The sequence below is a fragment of the Homo sapiens genome, chromosome 21, assembly GCF_000001405.40.
Source record: "Homo sapiens chromosome 21, GRCh38.p14 Primary Assembly".
In the NCBI taxonomy this organism is placed as follows: domain Eukaryota; kingdom Metazoa; phylum Chordata; class Mammalia; order Primates; family Hominidae; genus Homo; species Homo sapiens.
Genome location: NC_000021.9, coordinates 45,163,420 through 45,186,556, shown reverse-complemented (window position 1 = coordinate 45,186,556; position 23,137 = coordinate 45,163,420). Strand labels below are relative to the sequence as shown.

General features: G+C 43.5%; 1 protein-coding gene across 28 annotated transcripts in view; it reads right to left on the bottom strand.

Moving 5' to 3' along the window:
* Nucleotides 1-23,137, bottom strand: part of ADARB1 (adenosine deaminase RNA specific B1) — a 151,986-nt gene that overhangs the window by 40,007 nt on the left and 88,842 nt on the right. For 17 of the 28 annotated variants that reach the window (NR_073200.2, XR_001754787.3, XR_007067777.1 and 14 more), the window contains 7 exons: nucleotides 14,873-14,947; nucleotides 9,893-10,827; nucleotides 6,113-6,227; nucleotides 3,804-3,972; nucleotides 3,047-3,195; nucleotides 1,964-2,083; nucleotides 1,466-1,634 (listed from right to left, as the gene is read on the bottom strand). Coding sequence is in view for 18 of the 28 variants with exons in the window: in XM_047440660.1 (XP_047296616.1) it covers nucleotides 1,466-1,634; nucleotides 1,964-2,083; nucleotides 3,047-3,195; nucleotides 3,804-3,972; nucleotides 6,113-6,227; nucleotides 9,893-10,827; nucleotides 14,873-14,947 (1,732 nt within the window). In the remaining 10 variants the exon portion in view is untranslated. The remainder of the gene's footprint in view (nucleotides 1-1,465; nucleotides 1,635-1,963; nucleotides 2,084-3,046; nucleotides 3,196-3,803; nucleotides 3,973-6,112; nucleotides 6,228-9,892; nucleotides 10,828-14,872; nucleotides 14,948-23,137) is intronic. The other 11 variants (NR_027673.1, NR_027674.2, NR_144483.2 and 8 more) reach the window with 2 other exon arrangements.

The following is a 23,137-nucleotide window of genomic DNA, read 5'->3' as shown; positions in this document are numbered from 1 at the left end:
AATGTGGGAGAAGCTAACTTAATGCACTATTGGTGTAAGTGTCAACTAGTGTGACTGCCCTGGGATGCAATCTGATATTATTCTGTGAAGTTATATATGTGCATAACTCCTGAATATATGCCCCAAGAAACTCTAGCAAAGTCTATAATATTGTGATGGAGTTTGCATAAGTTGAAGGATATACAGGACTACATGTATAAGGGAGTTAGAAGAAATATGGGTGTCCCATCATGAAGGAAATGGCCCATGACTATGAAGGAAGATTTGCAAAAGTCAGTAGTGAACTGGCTGTTGGTTAGAGCAACAGAAATAGCTCCAAAAATATAGGTTGAATGAAAATGTAAGAATCAGATAGGATTTACAGCATAGTATCATTTCTGTAAATTAGCAACAAATACTCCAAATAATTCTATTGTGTATTTTTCAAGAGTACACCCCCCTCCCCCACATCACACACACACAAAGTTGACATATGCACGTGTGGAGGTGGACTGGAAGGACAAATAATAAATAAACACATCACAGTGGTCACCTGGGCTGTGGGCAATGGCCCAAAATGTGTGATTAATCCAGCTCCCTGTACTTGAGGTTGCCTGACAAGACCCACTGAAGGAAATCAACATAAAGGGCACACAAACAATGAAAAGATGTGCACGTGCACATGCGTATGCATCAATTTTGACAGCTTCTGGATGGACAGTCAAAACCCACTCACTGTGGGTGCCACAGGAGGGCTCTGAAGAGGGAGGTTTTAAACTTTATCATTGTATGCTTTTTGCCATCTGCTTATGTTACTTTTTTTTTCCAAATAAACATTAGTTTAAAAATGAAAACAAAGAACTACTGGAACTGATACCATCTGAAGAAATGGGTTTTCTATAATCTGCTCTGGATACAGGCCTCTGAAAGATGAATATCTCCCAGGTGCCTGCTGACTACAGAAGTGTGCTTGCAGAGCCCTCCTCTAAGCCTAACCCACACCCAGGCACAGAATGGCTGGGGATGCTCTCTGTGCTTAGAACACAATGCCTGTGACAGGGTTTGCATTACTTTTAAAATGCACATATCAACTACCTAAAATGTTAACTGAATGATGAAAGTGACCACTGAAGTTGCATCTACTACTAATGAGGAGAAGCCAGTAGTTTTAAGATGTCATGGCCTGTAGCCCATTAAAAACATCAGTTTAACCCAGAAGCCCACGTTAAAAATAAGTGGTAAACTCTGAGACGCTTGGATAGGAATGTTAGAAGCGTGGAGCCTCCTGTGTCTAGGTCCTGCTGCTGCCCCTCACGGGGGTCCCAGCAGCACCTGTTTAGAACCTCAGTCCTTCAAAGAATACTGTGGAACACCTGAGTGGGAAATGGGGCCAAAATTCAAATGGTTGTGGAAAAGGGAGGTTGGCAAACAGTATGGATGAATCCTGTGTGCAGGGAGGTGGCCACAGGGAGCCCCCGCCCCTTACCGTGCAATCTTGTCACTGCAGGACATGGTGAGCAGCCGCTCCCCTTGCAGCACCCCGTCCCACGTTTGGATGCTCGCATTGGAGCGCACTGGAATCGTCCCCTCACCAGACTCTATTTTGGTCCGTAGCTGTCCTCTTGCTTTACGATTTGGGTGTCTATCTGCTGGTTCTAAGAGAGAAAAAGAGTTAAAACCCCACAGGTAGTAAACCATCTATTTGATTTATTGAAAAGCACATCTAACAATAGCTTATAAATTTAAAATACAGTCTGTGCATATAAATGCATATGTTTATGCCATACATACAAAATACACATACAAAATAAGTATGTGAAGCTGAGAGGCTGGGTATGGTGGCTCACACCTGTAATCTCAGCACTTTGGGAGGCTGAGGCAGGTGGATCGCTTGAGCCCAGGAGTTTAAGACCAGCCTGGGCAACATGGTGAAACCCCATCTCTATAAAAAATATAAAAATTAGCCAGGTATAGTGGTACATGCCTGTAGTCCCAGCTCCTTGGAAGGTTGAGGTGGAAGGATCGCTTAAGAGCCCAGGAGGTCGAGGCTGCAGTGAGCCATGATTGCACCACTGCACTCCAGCCTGGGTGTAAGAGCGAGACCCTGTCTCAAAAAAAAAAAAAAAAAATTATATGAAATTGAGTAGGAAGGACATAACACAAACAAAATTCACAAAAGTGGTCTCCAAGGGAGTTGGGGAAATGGGGTTTTCACTTTAACTGAAATGATTTATTTCTATCATTAAAAATGCACTGAAGCAAATAGGACAAAATGCTAACATTTGCTAATTCTGGGTGATGGATACTTGGGTGTTTGCCATGTTATTTTCCTCTATATTTTTAAAATTTCCAAAATAAATCTAGACAGATGCAGAAATAAACCCATGGAAAGTATGGTAAAACATCCATAGTGAGTATTTCTGGGTTACAGGAATACGGATGATTTTAATGTTCTTATATTTTAAAAATAGTTAGCAATTTTCCACAGTGAGTATGCCTGTTGCTTTTATAAACAAGGAAAGTAATGTAATAAAACGTTCTATTTGGAATAAACAATGCCTAAGGGCTTGGGAGAAGGGATGTAGATACAAAACACTAAAAAACAAAAGTGCTAACCTCAAATGTAAAGAAGGATGGAAAAAAATATGATCACAATAGTGGTTTCACTTTTCACTAGTGTTTATCTGCTTCTGAAATATCAGGCAAATAAATACTTTAATTACACATTTAGCAAATTAGAATTCCTCAGAAATATGGAGGATCACATACACCTCTGATTTAGAGATATTTATTACCCAAATTTAAATACTGATACAATTTTAATCCAATATTCTCACTCCATTCTAATTACTTGGTTAATTACAATCAGCATTTTTCATTCATTAAAGTTTTCTAATTAAGTTAATTGGAAAGAAAAAAATCCATGCTTTTATAGAGACTCTTATCAGATCCACATCCAAGTCTAAAAATAAAAAGAAAAAAAGGAAAAGGGATATTAACACAGGTTAGTTTTTATCTGTTAACATTTTCTTGAGAAACTGGCTTGTTGAAGAATCTCGTCTCATACCTTCCAGGATTGGCTCATGTGGTGAGAAGATTCTGGCATCTCCACAGGGAGAGGTGCTGATGTACAGATGAAACTGGACATTCTCCTTCAGCCTAAACCCCCCTCGCTCTGATTTCTGAAAGATGGATCTTTTTTGATCATCTTTGTTACTGAAAGGAAAAAAGTTGCAAAAGTAACATTTAAAGCTGTATATAGTTAAATTTTAGTCTATCATTTTCAGAGGCTAGTATTTTCCACAAGGGAAAGATAAGTTTGAACTGGAATATTTATTTTACATGTTTAGGGTAATTAATACAGTTCTTGTCACTCAATAATGGATATGTCATCAGGATGTGAGTAACCTTTCCTTCTTCCAATTTATGACTTCAGAACAGAAAGACCACATACAAAAAATGGCTTTGTAAAGAAAAGGAGTTTGGATACATGACTAGCTCTTTCTAGAAACGGTGACTAGAATAAAAATTACCATCTTTACCTGGCAGTTTGGGAACTTCTATTTATACAGCATACAACAAAATCACATGGTCTTAAACACAGACTTGAAATTTATGACCATGTTATGTTATTGTATGTATGTGTGCATATGTGTGTTGAGCATTGTGGAAGAATGGGATGCAGCCTTATTGTTACTAATTAAAGTTATGATTTTGAGAGATTTTCCATGATTACAGAAACAATGAAAGGTTTTGCAATGTTTTCTAATAGAGGAATATTTTTTAAAAAGAGCTTCCTGTCCTTATTTGTTTACTAAACTTACTTTAAGTAAAGCTCAAGTTGTGTATAAAGAAATCTGAGCAAGGATCTCCGAGATATTATTTCTGCATGGCAGTCATTTAATGCAAGGCCACGATCACTCATGTATTCACCATTAATACATTTTGTTCCTGTAGAAACACTTATCACCTTGGCATCTTTAACATCTGTGCCTGAAAAAAAAAAAAAGAGACACTATTTTCTGTAATTCACAGTAATGTTTGCCTAACTGTGCTCCTGAAGTCTGACTCTTATTCTCAGTGACTTAACTTTTCAGGGGCCAACAGACTTTTCAAGCTCATCTTCATGCATATTCTTACCACCTATTTTTTAAGTGGGCAAATGTATACACGCAAACAACCTCCTATTGAGGACTCACTTTGTGACATTTCTGGAAAGCCAACCATCGTCATTGCTTAGTGTCCAGACACTAAACTCAAGGAAGTCATTTCCTCTGGTATGCAATAGCATCTTTTCTTGAATGCCCACAACTAGAACACAGCTGGGCAACACTATGGAAAGGTGGACTAACTGGTCTGGTAATTAATCTTGACATCAAATATCAAAGTACTGAAGAGATTAGGAAGGAGGGGTTAACGGCACCCAGAGGAATAAGAAGGAAAACAGAATTAACTTGTGATGTTTTCATTAGTAAACTGTCACCATTAACCACACTCGGAGTGAAATCACAAGCAGTGGTGAACTCCCACAGACAGATCACTCCGTCTCAACTTTGTGAGATAAACCACTGACCAGAGGTGTGATGCCAGGACCCTGGAAGTCACCTGCCGGGAAACTCGCATCCACTGCAGCTGAACCAATGGTGTGCACACCATGTGGCAGGTAAGCACCAGGTCTGTTAGGTAAATTGTCCTCACTGCATTCCCACGATGTCCTCTGAGGCTCATGCTACTAATGTCTCCACTGTATAGATGAGGGAACTGAGGCACAGAGGCCTTGTAACCTGCCCAAGTCCACTCAACCAGCGGGAGCCCCCTGAACCAGCTGTCTGGAGTGCCAAGTGCTCCAGCGTCCTGGCTTCAGATGTAAACTATGGCTCTGAGCAAGTGGTCTCAGGTGAAATACACACTAAGATGTAAGGTGTTCCCAGAAGGTGATCGGCCTCTTCTAAGGTCGTTAAAAACAACAACAACAAAAACAAAACAACAACAACAACAAAACGATGAAAGAACATGACCAGCTCACTCACCCATGCTGCTGGAAGAGGCAGGGAGTCTTACCTAGGGAACTATTCTATTCAGTCGTTGTGGTGTTCACCTTTGATTAATGTAAAAGATAGCAGTAAGGAGAGAGGTAAAAGGGGGAGAAGATACAGGTACAAAACATTAGAATAGAAGCTGCTGTTCGGGTGCTTCCTCCTCCCTGGACACGGCACGGCAAGGAAACAATGGTCATGAGCAGAGCAGCCAGGTTTCCTAGGGCAGCAAGAGGTGGGTCAGTGAAGAGGGCTGCAGAGTCTGATAGAGGTGACCCCTCAGGGGGAAAGAACAAGAAAGTCACATACCGAGAACTGGGGGTTTCTCCTGGGCTGGTGGATGTAGACAGAGAAACTGTCCCCAGCTTCCTCCCTGACCTCTAGGGTCTGCTTCCTGCATCTGGCTGTCCAGGCTGGGCTGAGCAGATGCTGGGTACAGAGACGGCCCCACATGACAGGGGTCCTCTCCCTGAGTCTTGCTCCACCCTGGGGTGCCAGACACTGGCCAAGGATGTGGCTTCCCTTCCCAGGAGCTACCCACAGAGATGCTGCTGCGTGTTCTCACTCGCGGGATGTGGGGAGAGGACTCGGGGGTTCCTTTTGCTACTGGGAACTTCTAGACTAATTTAATAGGGTTTCTTCTATCGTTCTAAATTGTGCTTTTTTTCCCCACGGATTTTCTACTCTTGCTAGAGCTCTCTCCCTCCTCAAAGGAAGTCACACTGAAACTTATCTGGCATCGTTAACATTAACTGATACAATAGATAGGCTCTACTTTCAAATAAAGGAAGAATTAGTAAGCCCCTTGCCATCTTCCAGAGCAGATTGAGGCCATTCACAGGATGAAGATGACAGGAATCAAATATTAATATAGTGTGCTTTCTCCAGATAAAACAAACTTAGGTTAAAAAGATGAACATTTTGGGAAAAAAGCTTGTAAGTGCAGTTCGTAAACTTGCATATGGCAGACATTTTGAAGAAGAAAAGAAGTAACCATCTCCCGTCGGTGTGGCACAGTGGTTTTTGTCGATTGAGAACATTTCACATTTGTCAGACATGAAAACAGGCAGGGTTACATACAACACCAAGATGGTTACCTGTTGTCATGACGACTCCAGCCAGCACTTTTCTGCGAGCGTGAGGGGAGGAGAAGTTGTCGGTCAGGTCACCAAACTTACCCAGGACCAGGCGTGAGACAGCGTCAGCTAAAACCTGTGTGGGAAGCACAGATGCAGGTTAGGGGCCAGATGCAGCTGGGAGCAGGGCTCACTCTCTCAATGCTGCACGCACTCTCCCTTATGGAGTGACACAGGCTGCTTCTCATCTGGAAGACCACACAGGTAAATCTGGCAAACAAGTATGTGTGTATGTTTCTTCCAGAACATTCCTTGGAAATAGACACCCCAGGATCCTGCCAGGCTCTGGCTGAGTCCTTCGCCACCCGCGTGGGGCCAGTGTGGAGTGTGGGCACCACACATGAGCATCCCTCCAATCCTCACCGCAGGCCAGCCCGGCCCTCAGGAGGAAACCGAGGCAAACAGGCAAAGCTGCCTGCTCAGGGCCACCTGCCCACGCCTACGCCCACCTAGTATGGCCCTCCCACCCCCCTTGCCCTCTCTCACATGCACACACGGTGTGGCTCAGTCAGCTCCAGGGCCACACACAGCTGGGAGCACAGCCCAGGATGATGTGCAAAATCAAAGGCAAGAGAAAGGGGCAGCTTGGAGATGCGATCCAGTGAAGGAAGCCACAAGCTGTGCACAGCACCTCCCTCAAAGGCGCCACCGAGAGGCTTCTCAGTCATTCCAGCCTCTCCACACAAATGCACTCTGACTCCGCTCACTCGCCCAGACGGTACGATAGAATCATGTACCAGAGAACAGCACGGGGAGGGAAAGCGCTTAGACGTTCGGAACACCTGCACAGGTATATGCTCAGGTCAGACAGACATCTGTATTAAAGTGCTTCTGAGAACAGATGTATTTGTTGGATTTTGGACATGGTCTTATGGCTTATGATTTATCTTGGATATAATGAGCCCATGGCATTTTGGGAAATGATGTCTGCTGGGAGGTGGGTGTTAAGAGCCAGTTTCAACTCATGTCCCACCAATTTCACACTTGTCTGGAAAATCAAATGACTACTAGGAAAACCCAGCATCCCCAGGTTGGTCCTTAATAAAATATTTCTGAAATGAGTAGAAAAGATAGTTGTCAGGATGTTTTTCTCTTATCATTGCACCAGCAAGTATCAGTGAGCCCCAGAGGACAGTGTTCAAGACAAGTCATGTGGAGAATGGACAGAGGCTTTGGTGGCAGGGATCCATGCACCCGCAGGCAGCGGCATCTGCAATGCAGGGGTGAGCGGACGCGAGGAACTGAGGCTGTGACAGAAACACAGGACGTGGCCAGGGTGCCAGAGGGAAGGGGCGACGCATTCCAATTGGCCAGGGTGCCAGAGGGAAAGGGCGATTCATTCGAGTTTACAGAGAAGAAAAAGTCATAAGAAGATTAGGGATAAGCCAGAGGAAATAAAAGTTTCCATTTCATATAAGATTAGGCGAATCTCCAAACTTTCAAAGAGAGGCGAAGAACTTTAACTTCAGAGTGAGTTCCGAGAGCCTCACTCTGAAGGTCTGGTGCTGGGGCTGATGCTTGTTAACGCAGACATCTGAGGCACATGGCCAGGGCTCAGCACCCCGTTGAGGGGATTACTGGTCTCATTAACCTGTATGGTTAATGAAGGACTTCCCTCTTAATTTGGGGGACAGATATAAGAACAAAAAAAATGCTCTTAAGAGTTAAACCCATGCCACACAGTCCCAGGCAGCACCATTTACCTGCAGTGACACGCAGGGATGACTGACCTACGTCCTTCAAGGGTTACTCTAGAAAAAGAGTGAGGGTTTTCCACCCATCCTAGAATGCACATTTGGAAATTTCCTGTTGAAGGACAATAGAGCCCACCAACAAAGCCCTAAGGACTGCTTCTGGGAGGGCCACCCGGGTCCTACAAGGAACACGTCACATTCCGGGGCTATCCTGGGGGCTCCAAAGACACAAGGTGGCAGGTTCCACTCCGGCAGAGACTCGAAGTGCAGCTCCATCCCCTCATGCCCTAGTGGTTCTGGACATGAGGCCTAGAGCCTGGTGTTCAGCACCTACAGAGCCCAGAGGAACGTGGCGTCAGGGGGCTGAGGCAGCCCTGCCCACCTGCACCCCTCCCCAGGCTGGAGCCCAACAGATGTCCCTCCAGCCTTCCCAAGCCAGGGGCTCTGGTCATGCTCCACACAGAAGTCACTGCAGGCGCACAGCCAAGCCAGGGAGGCAGGGGTGACATCTCTACTGGCACTTCGATCTGCGTCCGCCTAAGGTGCTCCTAGCCTACACACTGAAGGTTCAGACATCTGGGATCCACGGCATTTGATGTCATTTCAATGGTCTTATATGCCACTCTGTCAATATTAAGGGAAGACAAGTCACATCAGACAATATTTTGAACTCAGGCTTTAATATTTTAGCAAAGAGTAATCCTGAAAATAAAAAATCACATGGGATCTAGTAGCACTGATTTGTTAAAGTACAAATGGACTAATAATCCTTATAAACAATGTTGACGAGAGGTTAATAAGGGAAGCAAGTATTTGGTTCGTTAAAAAAATCAGTGAAATACCTTGAATATATTATTTTATACTGATGTTGCATTTGATTCCTTTAGGCAAAATAAAATACATTTCCTTCCTTTAAAACAGAACTCCTGGTCATCTCAGACTACAACTGCACAGAGGTTGTTCTAATTGTAGCCAACAGCAAAAAAGAAACTATAAGACACTTGGATTCTTCCAGGGGAACACAAGCCACCTTCAAGTCTTGTGGTCAAGGGTAGTATACATGTTATCTTCAAAGTGAAGAAGACTCTGATACAAAGTAATAAATGAATAGAGGGTCAAAAAAATAACTTTTGCAATAGACCAGAAGAACTTTGGATTTCCAAGAAAAGAAGGAATACATAATCAGAGAGTTTTAGGATTTAGAGATGAGAACTAAAGGTGATTTTCTCCTTTACTTTTTCTCTTTCACGTAAGCCAATCTAAGCCCACCCTGGAACTTCCCCTTCCTTCATCCTGATTTCACTGCGCTGGGGAGGTCAAATGGAAGGGTGGCTGTCCACCTCCAGCCTGGGCATGCGGGGAAGTCCTCATACAGCCCATGTAGGAAATTCAAAGTAGAGACTCCCAGGCAACTGGCAGGCCCTAGAACAGTTGTTGGAGGCCCCTCCCTCCCTGCGCTCTGATAGGTGCTCACTGCTGTGCTGGCTCATTCGCTGCTTTGATGGGCTCCTCGGCTTAGGAACAGCAAACAGCCACCAGCCAGTCATGTGGGAGCCCAGAGGCTGCCATCTTGACCCAGACTTGGGTTTTCAGCTGCTGACGGGCTGGTGTCACTTATCTTGAATGTGAGATTCTTGGATGAGACCTTTGAAGGAAAATGGTGCTGAACTGGGGGCAAGGTTTCAAAGACTGGGCTCTTCTTCCGTCTCTCCTGCTAAAGGCTTGCTGTGGGATGAGGGTCATGGGGGGGGTTGCCTAACGGGAAGGGAGTTATGGATAGTGTTGTAAACACTGCTCTGGTGGACGGGGTCTCAGGTGTCCCTGCCTTGCATTGCGACAGACCCAGCATGCACTAGGATGCAGACGGCTTCTCAGTGGCCACATGGCCATGGAAATCAAGCAGCCAGACTTACCAGTAACTCCTCCTGGTGGGGACAGAGTGATGTCAAGGTGGAAAGTCAACAGTAATCCTGAAACTAAAATGCTGTCTAGAAGCATTACCAAGAGCAATGACCCCGTGTTTTAAAGCAGCAGCATAGTTCCTCACCTGCGGTAAATGCAGCTGAAGACCCTCACTGGGAATAGGCTGGCGAGATGGCGTCTGATCCAAGTGCAAGTTAAAAATGGCGGCCAGGGCAGACTGCGCAGCCCGGGCCTTGGCAAGCTTCTTGTTTCTCCCCGAGCCTTCAAAGAACTGACCATCCACGACCACAGACATGACGAAGCTCTTGGCATGGCTCTCCCCGCTCTCGGAGAGGAAGTCATACTTGAGTCCTGGGCGCAGTTCGTTCAAGATCATCACGGGATTCTTCCCACTCGGGGGTGGGAATGGTGGTAAGACAGGGAGAGGAGGCTGGGCTAGGCTGGCAGGCACCGGGGAAGCAGACAAGCTGAGGTCCCCGCTGGAACTGAAGGAGTCATCCCCATTGGAGCCCACGTAAAAGGGAGGCTCCGCCTTGTCAGGAGTTTCAAAACCATTGAAGAGCGTGTCAGGGAAGTCGGCCTGGTCAGATGTGAAGTCCGTGTTGACAGACAGGGTCCTCCCCATGGCCAGGTGGGCCTCAGAGGCATTAGGAAACTGAACGAAAGACCTCAAGGCCTTCTCAGCAGCATGGAGTTTTGCCTTTTTCTTTGTGGGACCAGAGCCCTCAAAAACCTGGCCATTCACCTCCACAGACATGACAAACAAAGGCGCGTGCACGGGCCCAGTCTGGGACAGGAGTGTGTACTGCAAACCAGGCTTGATCTCATTCAGCTGCATCAGGGCGTTCTTGGGGAGGACGGGCCCTGGTGTTTTCCTCCTTTTCTTCAGGCGGTACTTGGAGTGGCCATTGCTGCCCTCCTCCAGGGGCCGCTTTCTGCCGGGGCCACCACCACCCCCATTGGAGAGCTGAGAGCCCTCGCCAGGCCCAGGTGTGCTGCCATCCTTGGGGGACACGTTGTCCAGATTGCGGTTTTCCTTCACATCAGTGCTGCTGGAACCTGTGGTGCCCAGAAAGAGTAACTTACAATGCCTTCGTTGCAGGATCTTGTAAATGCAAAATTTATAGATTCCTTTAGCTCTCTTTGTAACTGGTTAAGTGATGTGTGCTTATAAATTTTATTCCTTGATGTATACATGAAGAGTTATACATTTAGTTAAAGAACTATCAGCCTCAACTAAACAAGTAATCTGACACTTTGCTTAGTGACTAATACCATTTCTATTTAGTGTCACCAACTGCTTTTGCTTTAAAAAGTAAAATCTTTAAATAATTTTTTTTCTTCTGAGAATATTCTGAAGTACCTAGACTTTTTCAACCTTATCAAAATGTGGGATGATAAATTAATCCAGAAAGACCTTACATTAATAAGTCTAATGAAATGACAATTTAATATCAATATATGGATAAATATATATTTATTTTAGCATCTTCCTTTCACTGTTGTTTACCCTCATGCTATCTAAGGGTTTTAAATTGCAGCGTCTCTCAGAAGAGAAAACTATTTAAAAACATGCATTCACAAGATAATTAGTTTTTCAGGTTTAAAATATTCAATCAATAAATGCAATTATTTGATTTAGTTTATGAACCAATCTTTAAAAGCTGCTTATGTAATTGTGTAAAGTATTATGGCTTTTTAGTTGTTGTGTTTAGGAGGGTATGGTTTTATTTCTAGTATCTATTTAAAAATGAGAATATTATATATGGGGGCTGACTAAGTCTGAATCCTTAATATCGTTCCATGATAGGAAAAGTGTGTAAGAACAAGACACAAAACTGAAGCTGTAGGCAGGTTACAACTTCCTAACTTCATAAATACACTTTCTGGTGATTTTGTCTTTTTTAAAACAATTATTTGATGAATTTCCAGAATAATTTGTTTATCCTAACTTTTAAAGGTATTTCAGATTTTGAATTAATACAGACAATTTTAGAATTGTAAAATTACATGGCAAAATAAACATAATTTTTAAATTTTATTTATTTATGGATTTATACATGTATGTATGTATGTATGTATGTATGTATGTATGTATGTATGTATTTTTGAGACTGGGGTGCAGTGGCGCGATCTCGGCTCACTGCAACCTCCACCTCCCGGGTTCAAGTGATTCTCCTGCCTCAGCCTCCCGAGTAGCTGGGACTACAGGCGTGGGCTACCATGCCCGGCTAATTTTTGTATTTTTAGTAGAGACGGGGTTTCATCACATTGGTCAGGCTGGTCTGGAACTCCTGACCTCAGGTGATCCGCCTGCCTTGGCCTCCCAAAGTGCTGGGATTACAGGTGTGAGCCACCGTGCCCAGCCCTAATTTTTTATTTTAAAAAGAGGAGTATAAAGTGTTCATCAAGCTTTTTAAAAAGGAGAAGAAGAAATAATTCCTTTCCATCATGGCTAGGCAGCTGTCACATGGAGCCCAAGGGTGAGGGCTACAGTGCCCTGCAAGGTTGTAATGTGAATGAAAGTTAAAGACATCTACCACTAGATTTCAAAAATCTGTATTTTTTAAAGTAACCAAAATATTACTAAAATTGTAAACCAATTTACGAGTGCCCCATATGGTGGCTTTAGGGTCTATTTCTACTACATGTGTAAAATGGTAGATTCTCATTACGTTAAGCAAACTGAAAAGTTGTGAAAATATTCATCAGCTTCATCCATGGGAATGTTTAAAGGGACCAAGTCCTCGCCCTTGGCTGCCAATCTTTGAGGTTAAAGATCTCTAATTCCAGGGCTGTCATCATTCGGCCAAGACAGCAGAGCATAAACCTGGTTTAGACACAATCCATGGGAAAACTGATGCCACACTGTGGTAGAGGCTAAGAGATTTAAAACTTTCTCTACAGACATTATTTCTCCAAAATAATCCTCACACACACACCACTTCTCCCAGTTGACAAAGCTGATGGAATGGACACTAAATTTTCATTTATAACATCCTCCAGCAAAAGCTCGATAGGTTACTCCTTTCGGTGCTCAAAGGGAACAAAAGGTTAAAAAAAATAGAGCCAAGATGGAATTCAGAGATTAATAAACTGAGCAAGAACATGACATACTAGATTACTGCTTACATTTTGACTTTGTTGCTAAACAATTATCAATATCAAAAATCAAATCATTATAAATGTATTTGGACATGCATTTAACCAAATATTTATAACCTCTGAAATAACCAAATGCTTTCCTTTCAGAAATAAAAATAATTACTATTGGATTGACAAATAATCTTGAGAAGAATACACTTTCTGTGATACAGATTCCATACATTCTAAATTCTTATTCACCTCAGGGGCACACTGAAATACTACTCTCACTGTCACTGAAAATGCTACTATCATAAAGGAAAATACTAAAACTAGAGAAAGATGCCACTTTCACAGCTTTTCTTCAACAGATGCCTTCTCTTTCTGTATCATGCTACTACACTTCATAAATGTAAATACTGATCATGACAGGGCTTTGCATTGCTTTCAAAATGATACAAATACAGGACCAGAATGTCCACGTTTTAGCACTACAACATCGGCTTCTCTTCACAGAAAAATGTGGGAGGATTCTTTATCATGTCAAGTGATCACAGGATCAGTTTGGGGATAGTTCCAGAACCTACACGATCACAAAGCCTCTGTCTATGCGAGGTGACTGCAGCTGTAGGCTGTAGGCCACAGTCCTGACACAGAGGCCCTGAGGACCCCTGCACATGCTCCGTTGGTGGGCTACTGCACGGGCCAAGCACAGGTCACATTTTCTCAAATGAGGAGTATGGACGTAACCTCTCTCTTAAAACTTGTCACAAACTTGGAAACAGTGAGTAGAACTGCCCAGTAAAAACATGAAGCTGGGTTTTTAAAAGATCTCAAGAGCAGGATTGATGAGGATAAAAACCTGAAAAAAACAATCACCAGCAGGCAGGCACGGGCTGCGCACACAACAGCGGAAGTGAGGTGAGCACGCTGGTCCCGTGGTTCCTGGGTAGCACTGCAGGAGGTGGTCTCACCCTCACACCCCAGATGGCTGACTTCAACCAAAGCCAACACTTAGCACACAGTCCATAGAGCAGAGGCCCAGCCGCCTCCACAGCACACCCATGGGGCAGCAATACCACGCAGAAATCAATACCATGCAGAAATCAATACCATGCAGAAATGCTTCACTGGGTCATGGTTTGGGTTCTACATGGTACGCAAGAGTGACTCCAAGACCCCAGATCATCGGTTGTGCGTAAAGTCAAAGGGAAAGTGCTAAGTTCTAATGCTCAATAATCACTCCCAGTGACATGTCACTCATCATTGACAGCTGCATGTTATTCCTTCAGACAAGTAAGAAGGTAAATACAGATATTTATATTAGTTAGAGCAATGATGCCTTTGTTGTAATTTCTCTACTAAACTCTCCCAACTTCCGTGGAAGCATCTAAACCTGTTTTCTGGGACTGAAGATGAACTAGAAGAGATAAGTACCTTCACCGAAACACCAACGTACCCCAGCGGCCTTCCACCACCCCGGCACCAGAGAGAACAGCACGGAAGGAGGAGGCCCACACCAGTCCCAGCTCTCATTAGCACCTTTGCGAACTTTAGATCAACAGACACGTGTGAATCCCCTTCCTTCAAAATGCAGCGAGAACCTGCATTTTGAAGGGAAATATTTCTGTCCTATTATTGCAAAGGCCTGGGTATTTAAATCAATCTCAGACGTTATCTTCGATTTGTATGTGTGAATACTCGGAGCATTATTCTGAGAGGCATGCCGTGACAGGACTCCACATGAAACAGTGGGGCTTCATGAGATATACCCAGAAGCCCATTCCACGGGGCACAGTGATGCCCCACGACGATAACGAGGAAGGAAAAACGTCTGCAGCAAATTCTGACACCTGTTGCAGAGAACACACCAAAAATTAAAAACATGCCACTGTCAGTAGAAGATGTTACGGGAAAAAACACAATCCCCACACTGGTCTCATGAAATACATTTGCAAAAACACCAAAATGTTAACATAAAATTAGCTATCTGATACTACGTGATAGGCCTAGATCTTACTCATGTTTTCTTCATCTTCTATATCCATGGCAAAATACTTTTGAGGGTTTCTTGACTGGCGGAGACTGTTTCTGTCTGAAAGACAGTAAGAAAATAGCATTTAGTGTGCCTATGACAGGAGTAATATGAAGTAAGTCTACTCTAAGGAAATAATTACAACATTATTACAAATTAAAGGAAAAAAATCATAAAATAAGAACTAGGTCTTGTTAGAGAAGTCAGATCTGCCATCTGGTACAAAATACTCCTCCTTGGCACATTCCAGTCCAGCAAAAGACTTCTCGCGTGGATTCCAGCACAGCAAAGGACGTCTCGCGTGGATTCTCCCACATGGAGGGATGATGAGGGTGGGACCAGGTCCCAGCAAGGGAGGTTCAGGGCCAGTGCCCAGGGACCTCACACCACTCTGAGGAGGGTGGGTTTGATTCCAGGCAATGGAGGGCCATGAAGAGCGCTGAACTAGGGACAAAGGCACTGGCATTTGCACTCTGGAAAGACGCCTGCTGCAGGATGGACTAAGGACACAACACGCCATGACAGATGGCGACAGACCTCAGAAGGGCGCTCACATACTTGCCATCTATCTTTACTCTGGGTAGACTTTTGGCTTCCAGCTGTAAACTAAAGCCACACAGCAGAACCAGAACCTACAGCTTCTCACTTAGCTACTTCTCTCTCACCTTGAATAGCTCCTTATGCAGACAAAACTAAAGTGCACAAGACTGCTAAAATTCAATCTAATTTCTTAGTTACATATAAGTATTATTTTGTTGGCAGGAGAAACCACAGGAAATCCTCAAAGAACAGGTATTACAATTTCTAGTTACTAACAAATTTAAGAGTTTCCTCTTCTTAAATATTTTAGTTATACTTTGTCAGACTGTATTAATACATGTTCTATAATAAATAATATCATCAAATTGCAATTGAGGAAAAAGAAGATTTGCAAATTTTATAATCACACGTTACTTTGTGTACAAATAAAACTTATAAATCACTAAAAGGCAAATTCATTGCTCTTAGAAAATGGTGACTAAAATGTACTAAAACATGCATATATCTTATATATCTATATCAAATATCATATATCTAAAAATATATATTTTATATATATAGTTTTTCATGAAATCATGTTAATAACTTTCAATCTCACTATATTTCAGGCAAATGTGTTGCTAAAAGTTAAATGAGTTTCTCTTTAGAATCCTTTATTCAACAAAGTTTTCCAGATAGTTTTAAAAGCATTATTATTTTATAGTCATTAACTATTTCAAGATATATTTTCTGAGAATCTATTACGTGCAAAGCACTTGTGCTAGATACAAGAACCTAAATCAGATTCTGAGAAACTTAAATGTAAATACTGCCTGAACAGCTGATTATATTAAGGAATTATGATAAATTATTTTAGGTGTAGAAATGGCAGTTCTCTTTTAGTGACATATACTGAAGTATTTACAAATGAAAGGACAATATCTAGGATTTACTTCAAAATAATTCAGTGTGGTGAGAAAAACATAGATGAGTGTAGACAAAACCAACAAATGGGCCCTGGTTGGTAATTACTGATGTGGCTGACGGGCATGCAGAGTTCTTGATACAATTGTATATTTGTATATGTTTTAATATTTCCATTATGGAAGGACCGATAAAAAGTAATTGGGTTAAGGTCTAGAATGGGAGGTGAGATGTAGGCACAGAGGGCAAGACCCCTGCAGTCAGGGCAGATGCCCTCAGTAGGCTGTGGGTGCTCCCAGGAGCCTCCTGGCTGGAGGGATCAGGCCAAAAAATGAGGACATGCTCGTCAAACTGAGCTTCAGACAAGGGGTCTGGCTGAGCATATCACGAAGACGGGAAAACAGGTGGCTTGTGTGAGGGCACTGAGGTTATGCAGGCAAAGTGATGGCAAGGCGCTTCTCAGAAGCCCAAACTATAAACTGGAGGAACAACGAATAAGCCTGTCCAAATAGCTCTGTTCTTATTGGCTGAAACTGGTTTTAAATAGGCAAAGGAACTTCCTCAGTGGGAAGACAGAGTTCTTCTCCTTTTTCCTCCCATTAAATACAACTAAAAATCCTGGATATTATACATAAAACACACATAAAAAGACTGAGAGATGTAGAGAAAGCTGACAAGCCAGGGGGCCTCAGGACCTGAGAAGCGACCCTGCATTTTCCTTTTGCTTCATTTTCTCAACATAGAGCTGAGGAAGCCAGAAACATCAGCAGGCATTGGCAGAAACAAAACACACAAAAAGCTGCAACAAAAGCTGCTCTCTCTGGCCAAAGGACCAGGAAAGAGGTAGCCCAGCAAGACAGAAAACTTCTTAGACAAGAATTGCTTTATTCCAGCCAAACACCAAACAAAAAACCTCAACCACGCCCCACCCGTGCCAGGCTGTAAGGACAACCCCAGAGTCCCCTTGTTGGGTGGTGTCAGACAAGGCTGAGTGACAAGCCACAATCTTCATTTCCACCAGGCTCTAACAACCCCTTCCCTTCCCACGCCACAGTGCAGAGTCATGAGAGACTATGTGGGGAAGCTGGGCTCTCTTTCCACCTGGTAGAAACGACGCTAGCCGGTGCTGCCAGTGAAGGCTCCAGATGGAGCAGTGATGAGGCCCTCTCACAACAGGGAGCTATCCGGGAGCCCCAGTGGGGAACTTGGACTTATCCCCCATCCAGCAGTAATGAGACAGCATCCCCGCTTCCTCTGACACCGTGGTGTATGAGAAAGTCAGCTAAAACAGAAGGCTTCAGTAAGATTTAGAGTCTCATAATATCATATAATCAGGTTCCAATAAAAAATCACTTGTCACATCGAGAAACAGAAGATATCAAACTAAATGAAAAAAGACAATGAACAGATGCCAACACGGAGATGACACAGGTGTTAGAATTCTCTTAGAAAGACTTTAATGTAACCACCATAAAAAAAAAATAAAGTGGGAGCAATCAGTCTAGCTGATCTCAGCATTTATTACAAAGCTACAGTCATCGGTACGGTACAGTGTTGGCAAGGGGCAGACGAGCAGATCACAAGAGGATAGCACAGAGAACCCCGAATACACCACACAAATATGTCCAACTGATTTTGGACAAAGGTGCAAAAGCAATTTCGTGAAGAGGCACAGCCTTATTGGGGCAACTAGAGTTCCAAAAAAATGAACCTCAATTCAGGTCTCCTACCTTATTCAAAACTTAACTCAAAATAGATTATGGGCTTACATGCAAAACATAAAACTATAAAACTTTTAGAAAGTTACAGGAGAAAATCCTCAGGATCTAGGGCTAGGCAAAGAGTTTTTAGACTTCACACCAAAAGCACAATCCACAAAAGAAACAACTGATAAACTGGAAGTTAAAAACTTTTTCTCTGCAAACGTCCCTGTTAAAAAGATGAAAAAACAAGCTACAGACTGGGAGAAAATATTTGAAAAATATATATCCAACAAATAGAATATATAAGAAATTCTCAAAGCTCAACAGTAAAATATACAAATAGTCCAATTAGAAAATGGGCAAAGGACACGAAGAGGATCTACAGATGGAAAATAAACTCATGAAAAGATGCTCAGGATCACGAGTCACTAGGGAAATGCAGCTGAGAACTACCGTGAGATAACTCCGCTGCACACCTCCGAGAAGGGCTATTCAACATAGTGTTGCTTTAAAGATAGTGACAGCCCCAGGTGAAATGAGGCTGTGGAGAAAAGGGATCTCTCATAGACTGCTGGCAGAAATGTAAAATGGGATAGCTACTCTAGAAAGTAGTTTGGCAGTTTCTTAAAAATAAAATATGCAACTACCACATGACTCAGCAATTGTACTCCTGGGCATTTATCCCAGAGAAATGAAGGCTTACGTTCATATAAGTATTACTTCTTACAACTACATGTGAATCTATATTATCTCAAAATAAAAAGTATTTTTTATTTTTTATTTTTGAGAATCTCGCTCACCCAGGCTGGAGTGCAGTGGCGCTATCTCGGCTCACTGCAACCTCTACCTCCCAGGTTCAAGCTGCCTGCCTCAGCCTCCCGAGTAGCTGGGATTACAGGGATGTGCCACCATGCCTGGCTAATTTTTGTATTTTTAGTAGAGATGGGGTTTCACCATGTTGGCCAGGCTGGTCTTGAACTCCTGACCTCAGGTGATCTGCCTGCCTTGACCTCCAAAGTGCTGGGATTACAGGCATGAGTCACCGCACCCAGCCTTCAAAATAAAAAGTTTATTAATAATAGGCAGAAGACACACAAATGGCTAATTTAATTCTTATACATAATTAATCAATAATTGGTTTGCCTGAGAAGGCTGACTTCTCTCAGATTTCTGGGACCAGGAAAAACAAACTTTACAACAACAATAAAAGTGCAGAGGCACAGGAGTGAGCCCAGCTCATGTAGTTCACCTAATTCATACAGTTCACTTTGTTTTCCTGCCCTTACATATTAAAATTCTTTTAAAAGGACATGGAAAATGTCTCGCAGTAGAAAATAGTCATGCCGAGTGTGGTGGCAGGTGAGTACCTGCAGGTACCGCCCACATTAAGAATGGGAGCTACAAATCTCTTGCAGAGCAGAAGCCAACGTTTTCAGTTTTGACGAATGCCAACTCTTGTACCAAAGGTTATAAAACAAAGCAAAACAGCACATGCAAGCACTTTAGCACATTTCACAGAGCTATTTTTTCTTCCCTTTTTAAAAGAACCTCTTATGACCTGAACTACAAACAAATAAGAATTAAAACCCTATCAAATATCCCCTATGGAACAAAATTCCAAGAATGGTCAATTAAAAAAAAAAAGACTTATTTGATAGCAATATTCAAAACAACCTCTTCATTTCTCAGAATGCCTCCTAATGCAGTAAGAAGACAGAGCTGGGAGGTGGTGAGTGTGGAAGAACATTGAACTTGACTGCAGAAGACCTGAGACTTCAGTTTCACTTGGTTCCAGGTACAAATCCAACTTGTTTTAATGGAACTAGACAAGCTGATTCTAACATTTACGTGAAAAGGATAAACAGACTCAAATACTCAGGAAAACTCTGAACCAAAGGAGCAGGTGGCTTAGTCCTTCCTATTAGAAATAAAGAGCCTCAGTGCCTAACGCAACACAGCGTGGCTCACGGACAAAGAGGGTCAATGTGATGGAAGAAAAACCCAGAATCAGACACAACACATCCAGACACAGAATATTTGGTAAAGGTGGCATTTTAAATCAGGGACATATGAACATGCTTTTTATTTTTAATAAACAGGACCAGACACTGGGTGCCGACATGGAAGAAGATCAAGCTGGATCAAACAAGGCCGTTCCCTCACCGTGTCCTGATCATTTCTTCATGAGCTCGCTTTTGATTTCAGCTAACATGGTCAAATTGACAATGTTATACGTTTTGTACTGGGGGTAGGTAAATGATTGTTATATTATTCTTTATACCTTTTTATAGATACATTGCAACCACAAGTATAAACAATATATATAAATATAATGTTCTTATCAACTTTGGACAATGAGCATACCTACCCTTTTTCTCCCCTTCCCTTAATGAAAAAACATATCCTGGAATAAAATATTAAAAACATGACTTATTTACATTAAAGATGCATCAGAACTTGAATAGTTTCTATTGTGCTGGTAAAAAATGTCATCTTTAGGAGTCCACTAAAAGTTTATAGATTAAAAACTGTTTAAGACAACTGGTGAACTTGATTAAAATTACTAACATATATTACTGGATTAAATCCATTTTCCCCTCAAAAATGGATAGCTTTGAGAAAACTTTTACATATTCTTTATGACTGCTATGGGTTCCATATTTAATAGCTTTGAACTGCAAACTAAAAAAAAAAAAAGAAACGGTATTAAAGTGGAGATTATTCGTGTTCATTCTTTACTATACATCAAGCAGCATTCCAAAGCTAGATTAACTTTGTAGCAAAAAAATTGAAAGATGATTTGCTTATTTAACAAAAGCAACTGAAGTATAAACCTCTTACATCATTTGAACGAAAACAATCTGAAACTCAACAAGCGAATCATGCATGTTTAGAGATACACTTCACCTCATAATTTATATTTTGCTTTCAGTATTATCTAAACCAAACAATATCACTGAAGTGTTCCAAAATATTCAATTGATAATATTTTCAGTGAAATATTTTACCTTCTAGGAAACCGTCCCTGCAAGCTGCTAAGTGAATCTTTATAGATCTTGTACACAGAGCAAGCAAGATTTGTGCCTAATTTTCAGCAAACACATTTTTTCTAGTGCAATGCAAAAGGAGATAATTAAAATAAGAATAATAATGTACAATATTCATCATATTAAGTGGGAAATATTGATGAGAATAGGAATCTACTGAAACAGAAGAGGAAATTCTAGCAAGGACAAATGACAGAAAGAAACATGCAGAGGTGTCAGTTAGGGCACCTTGCACAGGGCACTAACACCTCAGTGGTCCAGTCAGCAACTTCATCAAACTGTGGCTCTAGTTCCTTCCTCACTAAAAGGGATGCATCACGGGAGAACCACATGCCAGTCGCACAGACAGTAGTAGACTGGCCCAGCAAGGCAACTCTAGGGTGGCTGGGCGGGGGTGGGCCTGGTGAGGCCTGGGCGCTCCAGGGGGCCTCAAGTAAGGTGTTTTCAGCTTTGACAAAGGCCAACTCCTTGTTCACCTGGCCATCCCGGGCAGCAGGTGTACCAATGCACATGTGTAAATCCTGTCACCTCGCTGCAGCCATCAGGCCAGACACCTGGAGACTACCTGGTTCTCTCTCCCCTCTCACCCCACACCCCATGTCACCAGCTCTTCTCCCAAAGTTGGGCTAAACACATCAGCCTGTCTGCTTCTGCGCTGCTGTTACCACTCAGCTTGTGCAGGAGCCTCTCTGCCTTCTCTTGACCCTGAGAGCCCCTCTCCTCGCAGCAGCCAGGGTTATGTCCTTATAAATAAAAAACGTGCTCTAACACATGCCCATGTGCTCATCGTCAGCCCTTCGCTATGCCCACCAGAGCCTCTCCAACTTCCTGGGGTGCTTCCCTGTTCCCTCCCTGCCATGTCCTCGCGCAAGGCTTCATCAGACCCCACCTTACTGCTCAAGTCCCAGCTCACACGGCACCAACCCACCCCACCGCCCCGCTCCCTCTCCCTCCACGCACAGTGCAATCCACAATTTGTCTCCCTGTTTGTGGCCTGCCTCTCCCAGTGGGCTGCGAGGCCCACATGGCTGGGGCAGGCTCGGTCTCCTCCACCCCTCCACCCCGGGCGCCATGCCTGCCCCCACAGGCATGCTGTACACTGAGTTCCTCCACCCCCGCCTTTTCCTTGGCAGCCCCAGTACTTGTGCCAACGCAGGGGCAAACTTGGGGCTTTCGTGGCCTACTTCAGGCCCTGTGGACACATTCAACAGCTGTCCTCCCCTGTCCAGAGTCTTCACTTGGCTGCTACAGTTGTTTCCTAAAAATAAACCAATCCTCTGAGTGCCGTAACATCCCTGAGACGCCTACACATCCTCGATGGTGCCTGCGACGTGGCAGTGGCTCTGCAGCTTTCTGCTCTTTAAAACAGGGCCATGTGTTGGTCTTCACCAGAAGGAAAAAGCATGAACTTCTATCATTTATTATTAATCTGCAATTTTTATTGAAAGGTGTCAACTGGATGGCAAGTGTTCAAATGTACACTAGTTCTCACCAGTTAAGGGATCAGCAAAAAAAGCACACAGCCCAAGGTGACTGTGCCGAGTGAACTCAGCTATGGCAACGTGGGACAGACAGCTACTCTGAGTCTACAGGAGCAGGGCCAATGGCCCCAAACCAAACACAGCAAGCATGGGGACAAGCGTGGCAGAGCACAGAGGGCCAGATGTCCCTCGAGTTTCCCTTCAGTCACCCCACTCACTGCTGCCTGGTACTCAGCATCCCCGAGCAGGCCCAGGGAGCACACCGTCCACACCCGACTCCCATAGGCCCCAGCAGCCCCCAGGAGGTCACACATGTGCTACTATTGTGGTGAAACTGCACAAGGCTCGCTGCTGTGGATGGAGCTGTGGATTCCACTGGCCTTGAGGGCCCAGAGTCAGCGTCCCCAGTGGGGGGCCTTGAGGGCCCAGAGTCAGCGCCCCTGGTGCAGGGTGGAGGTGGGGGGGAGATTCCTGGCTCCTTGTGCAAAGCTGGTTGCCCCTCCCCGCTCACTCCCCCGCTGGCCTGACCACCCTGCTTTTCCCACCAGGCCCTGAGCTCTGCTAGGACAGACTCAA